Source organism: Homo sapiens, chromosome 4 (assembly GCF_000001405.40).
Source record: "Homo sapiens chromosome 4, GRCh38.p14 Primary Assembly".
Taxonomy (NCBI): domain Eukaryota; kingdom Metazoa; phylum Chordata; class Mammalia; order Primates; family Hominidae; genus Homo; species Homo sapiens.
Window position 1 is genome coordinate 15,714,270 of NC_000004.12, and position 14,822 is coordinate 15,729,091.

Here is a 14,822-nt window from a genome sequence, read left to right on the forward strand (position 1 = left end):
GTCAGTGCCACATATTTCACCTCTACACCTCCTTCATTCTAGTATAAACATTTTATGAGGGAAATTACATGCTCCAGTAGTATTCTCAAGTGGAGATTTTGGAATTTCTGTGGACCTGTCTCACCCTTGGGAATTCCTGGACTTCAGCCCATGTATTTTTCACACAGTAGAGCCCATGCCCCTCAAATGACTGTTGAATTTTGCTTTGAAAGCAAATACTTCCTATGCTATTGCAAATACTTTGTATACAGACTTTTACTAATGGCTGGTTAAGATTTCAGACCCTTAAGTATCATAGTTTACTTACCATTCCCTTGTTGTTGAGTATTCTGTATTAGTTACAATATTTCAGTATTATGAGGAATTGCTGCACTATACATCTCTGTGCACAGTGCTCCTGGTAGTCCTTAGTGCTGTTTGCCAAATATTTCTGGCTTGTCTTCTGAGCCCACGGTTTGCACTCCCTGCCTCATGAAATTATTTACACGTGACTTACACTGGCCAATCAGTTGCGAGCGGGAGTGTGACTTTTGGGTGGAAGCCTTTAAGAAGTGGTCTATGATTTGTCACTGTCTCCTCCCTTTCCTGGCAATCAGATATTTTGCAGATGTGTCCCAGAATGAGGACACTTGAAACAAAACCCCAGTGGGCCTGTGATAAACATGTAGTGTGAGCATGATATAAATCATTGTTGTTTAAAGCCACTGCAGTTTCGAGGTTCTTTGCTAAGGGAGCATAAGCTAGTTTATTCCAGCTGATAAGATACTGTGTATTTTCTATTATCTTCTTAGGGTAGATTCCCAGACATGGATTACTGAGTCTATGAGTTTTTTGACATTTCAAGGCAATTTGCTTTCCAAAATAAACCAGTTTGCATTTCTACTAAGCCATATGAAATGCCACATTTATCATATCCTTGCCATTATTTAGAACTGACAATTTGTAAAAAATGCACATTTCATAGCAGAAAAATGTCACGTCTTTATTTGCTAAAAATACTTGGTTCTTCTCGTAGTATTCCAAGGATAGTTCTGGGGTGATCCACGTCATGCTGAATGGTTCAGAGCCAACAGGAGCCTATCCCATCAAAGGGTAAGAACACCAGCACATTCAAACACAAGAGAGAATGCCAAAATATTTATTTAATTGTTTTAAATAGAGGCTAAAGAAAATTATCCTAGTCCCCATCTCATGCGTGCTTCTGTAAATTCAGGTAAAGCAAAACAGATGAATGACCTGGTGATCAGAGCCATGTCTATAGAGTTAAACCATTAACAGCTGATGAATACAGGAATAAAAAGTAACCTAAAAATAAAAGCTAAAGAAGAAAAACTTCTAAAAGCTCTTTATTTTTTTTTAAGAAAGGTAATGTGTAAATTAACAACTGAAATGGAAAAGATATCATATTGCTTTAGGGCTTCAAGAAATGTTTCTCAGTTTTTTTGCAGATTATGAAATTCCAAACCTCCAGAAGGAAAAAATTACACGAATCGAGATCTGGGTTATGCATGAAATTGGGGGACCCAATGTGTAAGTTATGGTGATATTGATGATGATAATTGCACAAGTTTGTTTTTCTTGTATATAATATGATAAAGTTCGTTTAACATTTTCAGTTTAGGGGAAATGACAGCCTTCTTTGCTTCTAATGGGGTTGGTAGAGAAAGACAAAAGCTTGACTTTCTGGGAATGCCACTAGCCAGTCCCGAGCCCAGAGAGAAAGCCTCCTTTATCTGGGATATTCTTCTCAGCCAGCGAAGACAGTGTTCCTTTCTGAATGACCTTGGTAGCTTTGGATGGGTGAGTTCCTTATGCATTTGTGAGGGTCTAAGCCAGTTTCTCCTTCTGGTCATTTGAAATTCAAAAGCCCTCACCACTGGTTCTCAGAATTAACCTAGGGACTCTATAATTAAGACGTCATTCTCAGAGAACAACCAGCTCTTCAACTGGGTCTTGAATAACTGGTTGAGAAAGCTTTTATGATCCACATTTTCTGGGAAAGCACGAGTTTACATGTAAATGCAAACTTAAACTCATTCTTCTCAGCAGTAAAGAGCACTGCTGGCACAAACTCAAGATAAAAAAGTTAAACTGATTTGGTTTAAAGACAAGCCAACAAGGCCACAGCCTAAATAAAGCTGGACAGCCATGATGGAGATTCAGAAGCAAGCTGAGGCCTTGTCCTTCAGAACAGTCCCTCCGTGCTACATGGAGGAAGGTATTACTAACCCCAAGGAGTGCAGGTCCCATTGAAAGTGTTTAGGAGAACTTCAGTGAATTCCCTGTGTCCGTGTTGGCCCCCAGGACCTTCTAAGACTCACCATATAAGGGGTTATTTTTCCCGTCTCTTAGGCAATAGATTGTGATAAATTTGCAAACTACTTAATTACGTAAGTTATACCAAGATCTGCATTCCCCTTCTCAGAAGACAAATTATACTTATTTTTGCATGCATGAAAAACGTGTATCGTTGGTCTTATTTTTGTGAGAAGTTGCTCTCTCTGGAAGTTATACTTGCTTGTTGTTTTAATGTATCTATCTTGTTGCCCAGGCTGGAGTGCAGTGGCGAGATGTCAGCTCACTGCAACCTCCGCCTCCCGAGTTCAAGTGATTCTCTTGACTCAACCTCCCGAGTAGCTGGGATTACAGGTGTCCGTTACCACGCCCAGCTGATTTTTTGTATTTTTAGTGGAGGCAAGGTTTCACCATGTTGGCCAGGCTGGTCTTGAATTCCTGACCTCAGGTGATCCACCTGAGGCTTCAGCCTCCCAAAGTACTAGGATTACAGGCATGAGCCACCATGCCCGTCCTTTATAGTTATTTTAACAACACGTTCACTTATCTCTGTGTCCAGGTGTCCTGCAGCCTAGATGTCGTTGCTTACTAAAAAGAAATTCTAAGTAGTGAGCCTGGCCCCGAGTAAGGCATTTTCCCGGGTATTGGCAAAGTTCTAAAAAATGATGTTATTCAACACTGTGCTTTCTTCATTCCTATAATGCCTGGAATTCCACTTCTGTAAAAATTTCCAATTGCTCATTTCCTCCCTGTACACTCCCCCTCTATTAATTTTATGGTGGTGAGGCTGTTTACCATCCCATTTCATGTAAACTCAGGGTCCTGCCTGTAATATACCGTGCCTAATAACCACAGCTGGTGGTGTTGTGTATCTACCTCTGTTTGCGTTTGTAAATTCTCCCTGCTTAATTGTGACCATTAGTGAAAGTGGGCAAGAATCACTGTTGGTACGAGTGTGGGAAATTGCCACTCTCATACTTTATCAGGGTGTAATTTGGCTGTTCCTATAAAAGCCTTAAAATGGATTCAAATCTTTGATGCTAGAAAACCTACTTTCATGAATTTATGCCAAGGGAACAAATAATTAATAATGTGTAGGAAAATGAAGTTCCAATTAGTGACTGGGCTGGTGGCATGGGAGGTAAGAATTTACCAAGACAGTTGTAGGTAAAGAAAGATAGATTTATTAGAGAAAGTATGAAAATATGTTGCAAGGATGCAACTGGCAGGTCAGCAAGAGACTAGCTGACTGCATGGAGACAAAGGCTTACTGGGCATTTTGCAGAATGGTGCTTGTGCTGTGTACTGAAGAGCACTTGTGCAGTTCTGATAATGCCAAGGTTGCAGTGAGCTAACTTGCCTTTTTCTATCAGCTGAGCGTCTGGTGATAGGTGGGCATGGGAAGGTTGTGAGTTATTTGTGCAGGAAGCCTATGTGTCCTGGACCATGAAGAAGGTAGACTTATAGCTTATCTGCTTTGTCTTTTTGCTTTACCCTGCTCCTGCCAGCCTGGCTCCTTTTTCCTAATTAGGACTCCACAGCAACAAAGTTTGTTGTAGTGTAAATGGTATCGAAATGAAAGAATCAACCTAGGTCTTCAACAAGAGAGGACGGGTTCCATGAGTTATGGTCTGTTTATGTAAGGGAGGCCATGCTGGAGCTAAAAATAATGGCAGAGAAGTGTGTGTGTGTGTGTGTGTGTGTGTCTGTGTATACACACACACACAGAGACAGGAGCTAAAGCAGACTACAAAACACATTGGATAGCAGAGACCCTTTGCTTTATTTTTAAAATCTTGCAGAAATAAATATATTCTAAAAGACTAGACCTATATACACCAAAATGTTAACAGAGCTATCTCTAGGGGTGTGAGATTTGGGGTAATTTTTTAAAATTTTTGTTTATTTGCATTTTCTAATATTTTAAAATTTGTATGTTTTGGTGGTTACTTAAAACTTCAAATGAATATACTGTAGTGTAGGGTGAACAAATTGGCAGGTAGCATTGTGTCGAGCCCCTGGAGCACATTGCAGATATGTGTCACTGTCTGGGGACAGACTGCACAGGTGGCTGACACCACGCACATGCACTGGCCCTGGCTCTCCCAGTGCTCCTGGCTGCCCAGCTTCAGGCCCGGTGCTGGGGTCCTCAGAGCATCGTCTCTTGGGTCCTGCAGGTTTACCGGAAGCAGCCCTTTTTAAACCAGAGACATTCCAGTTTTCTTTCTGAGAGTAGAATATCCAGGAGCACATGGTCAAAAGAAATTATGTTTAACCCAGAAACAACTTCCTCTTCCTCCTCTTATTTGCTTACTTTTTAATTATATATTTTCATGTTTTAGGGAATCCTGCGGGGAAGGCAGCATGAAAGTCCTGGAAAAGAGGCTGAAGGACATGGGGTTCCAGTACAGCTGTATTAATGATTACCGGTAGGTGGCCTATATATCAATGTGCTCTTGTAGAGGTGGTGTATGATTTTGGAGGAGGTGGGCTGCCGAAAGGGTATTGATGGCTCTCAGCTCTGAAGGCCATGGTGTCTTCCGGGTGGCTTCTCGGTGTGGAGGCAAGGAGCACTTTCTGGCCTGAGTTTGGCCAGGGCCCCACCCACTGCTGTCCAGAGTCCATCTTCACGGCACTGGACGTTTAAAGAACACACAGAGCAGCACTTTCTCATTTGCTCATGCCCAGTTCTCTCCTCACTGTGCTTACTGTGCAGCGAGATGCTGGAGTACAGGGACTGAGGTTCCTATGTCTTTGGATCTCTGTGGGATCCCTGTGCATGACAGGTGCTAAGGTGGGAGCTTGTTTGAGGTATTTACAGACACATCTTGACCACAGACCAATAGGAAAATAATAATAACTACCACTTGGTGAGCAGCTATGGGCCAGACACTTTATATATTTATAATCAGGTATCATTTGTGGGCCTTGTTGCTTGGACATTTTTTTTTTAAAAAACTTGGCTCAAGCCCTAAGGTAGTTGCAAGCCATCTCTGGACTCAAACGCCTGCCTCTGGCTCTCTCTGCCCCAGCCCCTAAGACTGTGGACCTGCTGATTCTGCAAGGGGCTGGAATCCAACATTGCAAAAACTGAGTGGTTTTCTTGAACATTTCTGAGTGTCGCTGGGTGGAAATGACGTCAGTGGTCTTTTGTTGCCTAACACCCTTGATTATCCTGCTTCTCTGCCACTCTCTGCCTTCCAGCAGCCCCATGGGCTGGATCATTCTCCCAGCTGAGCAAAGCACCCTAAACGTGTGAACCACTCCCTCCCACTCCATGCCTCCTCAAGACAAGGAGCCCCTCAAGGCTGTTCTGTTATCTGTACCTTTTACTCATAAATTATTGCCAGTGCTCTCAAAAGTTAGATGTTGTTTATCACCCCTTTTAAATACAAAACAAGGCAAATGTCCTTTTCTGGAAATATAATCTATGTACAGAAAAATATACAAACCATGAGTACACAGGTGGATGAAGTTTCCCCCATTTAGTGCATACCTGCAACCAGCCCTCAGACCAATAAACAGAACATACTCAGCATCCCCAGGGGCTCCCATTGGCCTCTTTTGGTCACCACCCCCATAGTAACCACTCTCTAGATTTATAATGCCATTAATTAGTTTTATCTGTCTTTAAGCTTTAAACTCAGTGACAGAGCTGAGTTTTGAACCCAGCTTTGCATGGCCTTAACGCACGCTCTTTCCCTCCTGCTACCAAGCTCTTCCTTCCTTAATTGAAGCTCCAGTAGTACATTTTAAAAAACATTCAATTCTTGGCCGAGTGCAGTGGCTCATACCTGTAATCCCAGCACTTTGGAAGGCCGAGGCGGGCGGATAACAAGGTCAGGAGTTCGAGACCAGCCTGGCCAACATGGTGAAACCCCGTCTCTACTAAAAATACAAAAATTAGCCGCGTGTGGTGACTGGTGCCTGTAATCCCAGCTACTCGGGAGGCTGAGGCAGGAGAATCACTTGAGGCAGAGGTTCCAGTGAGCCAGGGTGACAAGAGCCTGGGTGACAAGAGCAAGACTCTGTCTCAAAAAAAAAAAAAAAAATCAGTTCTTAATCCAAAACAGCTCAATAGCCAAGTGCAGTGGCATGCACCTGTAGTTCCAGCTATTTGGGAGGCTGAGGTGGGAGGATTGCTTGAGCCCAGGAGTTCAAGGGAACAGTGAGCTATGATGGTGCCACTGCACTCTAGCCTGGGTGACAGAGCAGGACCTGGTCTCAAAATAAAACAAAGTAAACCCCTAGCCATCGCCCCCTCAAAAACAAACAAACAAACAACAACAACAAAAAGCTCAATGATGGAGAAAATTGTAGCTAAAATTGTTGCATTCACAACCACTTTGCTTTGTTTTTATGTCATTGGGCTGAGTTATAATAGCCGGGCCAGAGCCCAGGTCTCCTTGCCCCTCACGGCTGCCCTGGGTCTGGGCTTATGTGCTTCCTCTCTATTGTGTCCCTACCTCAGTCAGCCTCAGGGCTCTTCTCTTCCAGGCCTGACTCAGTAAAGAAATGAGGAAGCTCCCATTTCTTTATTGCCCATAGGCTGTTTCTGTGTTAGTGTCAGGAGCAGAGAGGATATAATGAAAGGTATAAATGGGAAAGTGATGAGGGTTAACATAACAAATCCAACTCCAACCCAGATGTGAGAAACTCCTGCCCCTCACAATTCAGGTGGCATTGCCTTCTGCCCCACATCAGTAGAAAGTTCTCCCTGAGGTTCTTGCCCATTTTGGAGGGGGCTTATCTTTTCATGGCCTCCCTTACCTTCTGGTTGGTTTCTGCCAGTACTGTGTTGAATCAGACTCAGTGAAAACTCCATACCTGTTTTTGGGCATAAACAATGACAGATAACTACTTTTATTAAAAATATGTGCATCACATATACACCATGGAATACTATGCAGCCATAAAAAGGATGAGTTCATGTCCTTTGTAGGGACATGGATGAAGCTAGACACAATCATTCTGAGCAAACTATCCCAAGGACAGAAAACCAAACACCGCATGTTCTCACTCACAGGTGGGAACTGAACAATGAGAACCCTTGGACACAGGGTAGGGAATATCACACACTGGGGCCTGTCGTGGGGTAGGGGGAGGGGGGAGGGATAGCATTAGGAGACATACCTAATGTAAATGACGAGTTGACAGGTGTGGCACACCAACATGGCATGTGTATACATATGTAACAAACCTGCACGTTGTGCACATGTACCCTAGAACTTGAAGTATAATAATAAAAAATAAAAATATGTGCATCAAGTAGACACTACTGAAAGGTAGCTGAGTCAAGGACAGAAGACATGGCATGCCATAGAGACAACAATATCACGTTCCTGTTCTTCCATAGTCCCCTGCAGTGATCGTGCCACAGAGATCCTGTCTAGGCTTGCCTCCTACCTAACTCCCCGTGTGCCACCAAGACCTGGCTCCTGTCTTCATTGCTGCTTCCCTTCCCCTCCTGGTGGCTTGGAACTTCACATCTTCTCCCTCTGTTGTGCACAGCAAGTTAGCTTTCCTCTCTGATGCCTGAGCATTGGCCATCACCCATGTGGTTCAAGTCCAACCTTCTGCCCAAAGTACTTATCAGGTCATACGAGTTGTACGTGCATACAGAAATGGTTAGAAGCTCAGGCCCTAGAGTCAGCCTGCATAGTTCAAGTTCAGCCCTTCAACTTGCTACTGTGAGAACTTGGGTGGGTTATTGTGGTCAGCTTTCTCAATTGTAAATTGGAGAAGATAAAGCACCTATTCCATTTGGTTGTTATGAGGATTACATGACATGATCCTTACAAAAGATATAATCAAATGTCTTGGTACGTAGGAAGTGCTTGATAAATGCTGGCTAATATTTTCATTTGTTTTAGTTTTTCTAGATACAAGGCCTCACTCTGTTATCCAGGCTGGAGTGCAGTGGTGCGATCATAGCTCACTGCAGCCTTGAACTCCTGGGCCTCCTGCCTCAGCCTCCTGGGTAGCTGAGACTATAGGCATGAGCGTCTGCACCCAGATAATTTTTAGATTTTTTTTTTTTTTTTTTTTTGTAGAGCCAAGGTCTCGCTATGTTGCCCAGGCTGGTCTCAAACTCCTGGTCTCAAGCAGTCCTCCTGCCTCAACCTCCCAAAGTGCTGGGATTACAGGTGTAAGCCACCGTGCTGGGCCACTAATATTTTTAGAGGAAATAGTTTGTGTATTATTTGAGGTCAGAGACTACTGTATCTCCAGGACTTTTCAGGCAAGCCATAAATGGTTGATGGATGAAAGTTATTTAAATAATCCCTTAAATATTATTTTCTTTCTGTAGACCAGTGAAGCTCTTACAGTGCGTGGACCACAGCACCCATCCTGACTGTGCCTTAAAGTCGTAAGTAAATGTCTTAACCCAAATCGTTCTTTCCAAAGATAACCATCTCCTTTCAGAAGTTTTCAGTTCACAAACATGAACATATTATCAGAGGCAGATGTAAGTGTGCTCATTGGATTCTGGTTTGGCCTTATTTTTATTTATATGTATCTGTCTTAGTTTTTGTACAAAAAGCAATCACGCTACACATAACGTCCTGCTGTGAGCTTTCTTCACTTGCTGGTGTAATGGGGCCACCCTTTAAAGTTTGTTCATACTTCTGTCCTAGTCTGTTAGTGGCTGTAGAGCAATCTGTAGGATGGTCACACTACCTTTTTTTTTGGGAGGCGGGGGGCAGAGTCTCGCTCTATCGCCCAGGCTGGAGTGCAGTGGCGCAATCTCGGCTCACTGCAAGCTCCGCCTTCCGAGTTCACACCATTCTCCTGCCTCAGCCTCCCGAGTAGCTGGGACTACAGGGGCCTGCCACCACGCCCAGCTAATTTTTTTGTATTTTTTTGTAGAGACGGGGTTTCACCGTGTTAGCCAGGATGGTCTCGATCTCCTGGCCTTGTGATCCGCCTTCCTTGGCCTCCTAAAGTGCTGGGATTACAGGCGTAAGCCACCACGCCTGGCCCACACCACCTTTTATGTAATCCTTTCTGAGTCATGGGCTGGCTTGGTTGTATGTTGTTATAGTAGTTGTTTTGCTATTATAAACAATGCTGAAATATAATCCTTGATTATATACTTTAAGCTGTTGTGCAAGTATTTGTGTAGGATAGATTCCCAGAAATTGAGTTGCTGAGTCAAAGAATGTGTGTGTATTTTAAATTTTGATATGTTCTGAGAAATTTTGATATGTTTCAAAAAGGCTGTGCCAGCATACACTTCCACCACCAGTATATGCTAGGAGTGCCCATTCTCCACTCCTCCACGCTATGTATTTTCTATATCCATATCTGTATCTGTGCCTGTACCTATAGCCTATCATTTTAGCCCATCTTAGGGGTAAAACATAGTGCATTATTGTCATTTCAGTTTGTGTGGGCAGGAAGATTTCTGATCCCTCCACTTGAATTCTTTTCCGAAATCTATTTACTAACATCATACTTATCCTGACAATCCAACTCAAGTGTTCTTTGCTCTGTGAGGCTTTCCTCATTCTCCACGTTGATTGAGGAACTCCCTTCTCTTTGCTTCCAAGGACTTTGTACACAACCTGATGACAGTGCTTTACTCTTCCTAGCCCTGCTATCGTTCATTCTGTACCATCTGCCTGCCTCACTCTGCCTTCCTCTTTGTGTTTCTCTTAGTATTTTTCATTACAGTTGCACATAGTAGGTGCACCATCTATGCCTGTAGGATCCGTTCTTCCATCTACAAGGGAAGAGAACTAATCAGAGTGCACAGTAACTATATGCTAGGCATTTGCTGTGTGCACTACATAAAATAGTATGTTTATCTGAATAACCAGTACATTAAAGAGAGTCAGGCTGGGTGTGGTGGCTCATGCCTGTAATCCCAGCACTTTGGGAGGCTGAGGCGGGTGGATCACCTGAGGTCAGGAGTTCAAGACCTGCCTGACCAACATGGTGAAACCCCATCTCTACTAAATACAAAACATTAGCCAGGAGTGGTGGTGCGTGCCTGTAACCCCAGCTACTTGGGAGGCTGAGGCAGGAGAATCACTTGAACCCAGTAGGCAGAGGTTGCAGTGAGCCGAGATTGCACCAGTGCACTCCAGCCCAGTCAACAAGTGTGAAACTCCATCTCAAAAAATAAAATAAAATAAGAGAGAGAGAGAGAGAGAGAAAGAGAGCACATGCACTGGTGAGCTGGCTTGTCATCCCCATATAGTTCTTATTCTCTTTTTCATTTAGTAATAGAACCCTTGAATTTTAGATGGTTCATGGCTATCAAGAATAATGATCCTAGCCTCTCTACCCACTGTGGCCAAGTGACATGTGCAATTTCTGGGTTTAGCACTTGAAAGGAAGGGACTTACATTCCCTTTCTCCTTTTATGCTGGCTGGTATATGGGCCCACAAGATGTGGAGGTGAGCGTCTTCAACTGGGCGTGGCAGAGTAACACAGCAAAAGGAAGCCGGGTGCCTCTGTACCATGGCATCACTCTACCAGCCCTGAAGAGTTACTGAGAGAGAAATAAACATCTGTCTTCTCTAAGCCACTGTCATTTAGACAGAAGCCAGATTTTATTTGATCCAATGTGGGTAGGTTCATATTCTCCCTTCAGAAGCAAAGAAACTCTGGCTCAGAGAAGTTTATGAAGGACTCACCCAAGACCACCCAGCTAGTGCAGGCAGAACCAGGATCTGAAGGAGTCTGAGAACTGTCAAAATTCACTCTGGCAGATGTCTTGCTCTTTGGGCTGGAAATTAGGACAACAGACCCATCATCTCCAGCATGTATTCTAGGAGCCAACATCCCAGGGTTCGGTGATGGATTTAAGTCCTCTCCTCATTCTTTAATGCTATTCGTTCCCTGTGAATTTGGCATGCATCGTTTCTGAGTCCTTTCACAGGAGGTAAAGGATAGCCTGTGAACCTGGGTCTTTCCTTTCCTCACCTGAAAATGAAGTCCACCCTCATGTCGCTGCTGCTCAAAAACCTTCAAAGTTACCTACTACCAAGTTCAGACTTCTAGTCCCATCTTCCAGGTTCATCATACTCTTTCCAGACACGTCACCCACAGCTTCTCATCTGGAATGTTTATTTCAAGGCTAGTTTTGATCCACTTCCCATAAGATATCATATGCTTTCCTGCTCATCAGCCTGTGGAAACACCGTTTTGGCAGTAGTAAGCACTCTGTTCTTACTGAGTTAGTCAGATGATCTGAAATTGTCAGTTTTCTTATCTACAAAGCCTCCATGAGGTTACCCTGATCCCTGATCTCAATATTTAAAATCATAGCCTCCATCTCACAACTGTGGCTCTTCAAAACCCTCATGTGACTGCATTTTTTTTCTTTTTTATAGTGTTTATCTTCTGACTGACCTACTTGTGAAGTGCGGTCTTTTTTTTTTTTTTTTTTTTTTTTTGAGACGAGGTCTCTCTCCTCTCTCTGTCACCCAGGCTGTAGTGCAGTGGCACAATCACGGCTCACTGCAGGTTTGACCTCCTGGGCTCACGTGATCCTCCCACCTCAGCCTCCCAAACAGCTGGGGATACAGGCACTTACCACTACGCCAGCTAACTTTTAAAGTTTTTTTTTTTTTTTTTTTGTAGAGATGAGGTCTCACTATATTGCCCATGCTGGCAAATTCATTCTTTAGCGCCTCCCACCTGTCAGAACATGAGCTCCAGGAGGTCAGGGACTTTGACCTGTTTTTTTCACTGATGATGGTATTCTAAGGACCTAAAACAGAACTTGCAACTCGGTAGACACTTAGGAATGAATGAATGGATGAATAGATGAATGAACGAATGAATGGTTGGATTCTACCCTGGAAAGGCATAGATTTAAGAAGAACGATGTTCAAAGGTGCTGGGCAGCCAGAAGGAATGACAAATGCTCTACAACACCTTCAGAGAAGTGCCCAGAGGCTGCATATGCATAAGGTCTACATTTTGATTGCAAGAAAAAGAATCCTTGTGTGGCTCACTTATGTGGAAAAGGGGGAATAAAGTTGTTGCAAAGATTAGTGGTATAGACTTTCTAAGGAGCCTGGAACCTCATAAGTCTTGGATAGGGAAGTGTCTGTGGTGTTAGAATTACTTAGGTTTGTATGGTTTTACTCTTTGTCTCATTAATCAGACTGTCAACCTATACAGAAACAGACCATGTAAAATTCCTTGTTGTAAAACCCACTGCACCCTACACCACCATTCCTGAAATGGGCAAATGGTGCCATCCTAGCACCAGTGCCTTGGGTTAGCTCCCCTGCTGCAGGAAGAATAAGGAGAACGAGGGTAGCTCTTCTCACTTTTCCTCGGTATTTTTTTTTTTTTTTTTTTGAGATGGAGTCTCGCTCTGTTGCCCAGGCTGGAGTGCAGTGGCGTGATCTCGGCTCACTGCACCCTCCGCCTCCCGGGTTCAAGCAATTCCCCTGCTTCAGCCTCCCGAGTTTTCCTCAGTATTTCTGAGCACTTTGCAGTGTCAGGCTTCCAGCTGGCACTCTGGAGTCATCATCTCATTTTACTCCAACCACATTCCTAGAAGGAAGACAGTTTGATTGTCATCAATGATGCTGAGGTTCAGAAGGATTAAGTGATCATTTAATGTTACTCAGAGGCCGAAGCAAAACGGAGATTTGTCTGTGTGTAAAGTTCTCATTCTTCCTACCACACCACACTGCCTTAAAATGTCTCTGGGTCTCACACCACAGCAGGTAAGTAAGGGGTTTGCAGTTCCTGACCTGTTCTTCCCTGTGTGTGGGCATTCTTTCAGTGACTGTTGGTAGACATTTTTGACAATTCTGGCTGATTCCTTTGAATGTCAAGGATAAAACTCTCTTTCACTCTGCCAAGTTTTTCACCAACTTTCATCACCCTGGCAGGAATTTTTCTAATCTATTTTTTAAACATTCTAGCTGTGAATAGTCATAGATAATTTACAAAAGAGAAACCACAAATAGCAAATATACAAAATTATTTAATCACTCTAATAATAATGGAAAACAAATTCAACAAGGTGTCATTTTCACCTAAACTTTCTTGGCATACATTAAAACATAGCAGAAAAATGTTTTAGAGATGTTATTCAATGCTTGATGTCACTGTAAATTGATAAAGTGCTTTGGGAAAACAATTTGACAATATGTGTCAAGAATTAGAAAAATATCACAGTCTTTGACCTAGGTCACACTTTAGGGTACTTTTGGTGCCCTATTCCAAACAAGTGATTTGAAATGCACATACAGCCTATATGCTCAAATATGTTCTCCAGAGCATTCTTTATAATACTGAAATACTGGGAACTGGACTCAAATATCCACTGACAAGTAAACAGTTACATCAAAGGGTACACTTACTGGAGGGAGTAGAATATAGCCCTTAAAGACAATGGTAGGATAATCATACAGCAAGCAGAAGACCCCATGAATAATCCAAGGGGAAAAAACCAACCTTAGCGCTTATAGGTTATAATATTGGCCAAAAATTCAGTAGACTTTTAATCTGCAGGATTGGTGATGATATGAGAAAACAGACATATAGTACTGGAATGAGGACTCAGTGTGGCACTAAGGGCCAAAGGCAAACATCAGATCTTTTAACTTAGCTGGAAGGCTCTATCCTAAATGCCCCAGGCCACAGAGACAGGACTACTCATCTCTACTTGTTTAGGAATAGTGGGGTAAAGGGCTTTTAATCTGCAAAGGTTTCAAATGAAATAAACAACTGTTGATGTAAATCCACCCATTTTATTAATAGTTTTGTGGTAAATTTAGGGACAATCTGTATGTTTTGGTATTTAATTATTGGCAATATTTTAGAGAATGTAGCATATAAGAACAGCTGTTGGATTAAACCTGTGATGCCAGTATATGGGTTACTATTAAGTAACTAATTCTTTTTCTTTTTTTTTTTTTTTTTTTGGAGACAGGTTATCGCTCTGTCACCCAGGCATGGAGTGCAGTGGTGTGATCATGGCATATTGTAACCTCAACCTCCTGGGTTCAAGTGATCCTCCTGCCTCATCCTTTCAAGTGGCTGAGACTACAGGAGCAAGCCAGCACTACTGGAAAATTTTCTTTTCCCTTCCTTCCTTCCTTTTTTTTTTTTTTTTTTTGATGGAGTCTTGCTCTGTCACCCAGGCTAGAGTTCAGTGGCTTGATCTTGGCTCATCACTGCAGCCTCCACCTCCTGGGCTCAAGTGATTCTCCTGCCTCAGCCTGCCAAGTAGCTGGGCCCACAGGTGTGAGCTACCACGCCTGGCTGATTTTTGTATTTTTAGTGGAGATGAAGTTTTACCATGTTGGCCAGGCTGGTCTCAAACTCCTGACTTCAGGTGATCCTTCTGCCTTGGCCTCCCAAAGTGCTGGGATTATAGGTGTGAACCACCATGCTCAGCCAAGTAACTGATTTTAGGCTTGGGATTTTTAGTAGGAAGTTATAAGAGAATTTTACTAAGTTTTGAACCAGTATTGGAATTTGTAAAAGAATTAAGATTAAATTTTATACATTTATTAGGTTTACTACAATCAAGTAATTGAGAAAG

General features: G+C 42.9%; 1 protein-coding gene across 8 annotated transcripts in view; it reads left to right on the plus strand.

Annotated features, from left to right (window-relative positions):
• Positions 1-14,822, plus strand: part of BST1 (bone marrow stromal cell antigen 1) — a 71,109-nt gene that overhangs the window by 11,205 nt on the left and 45,082 nt on the right. For 7 of the 8 annotated variants that reach the window (XM_011513878.4, XM_017008566.3, XM_017008565.3 and 4 more), the window contains exons 5-8: positions 1,016-1,092; positions 1,438-1,530; positions 4,638-4,724; positions 8,606-8,665. In XM_011513878.4, coding sequence (XP_011512180.1) covers positions 1,016-1,092; positions 1,438-1,530; positions 4,638-4,724; positions 8,606-8,665 — 317 coding nt within the window. Of the gene's footprint in view, positions 1-1,015; positions 1,093-1,437; positions 1,531-4,637; positions 4,725-8,605; positions 8,666-9,165; positions 9,398-14,822 lie in introns of those variants that run through there. The other variant, XM_005248185.3, reaches the window with a different exon arrangement.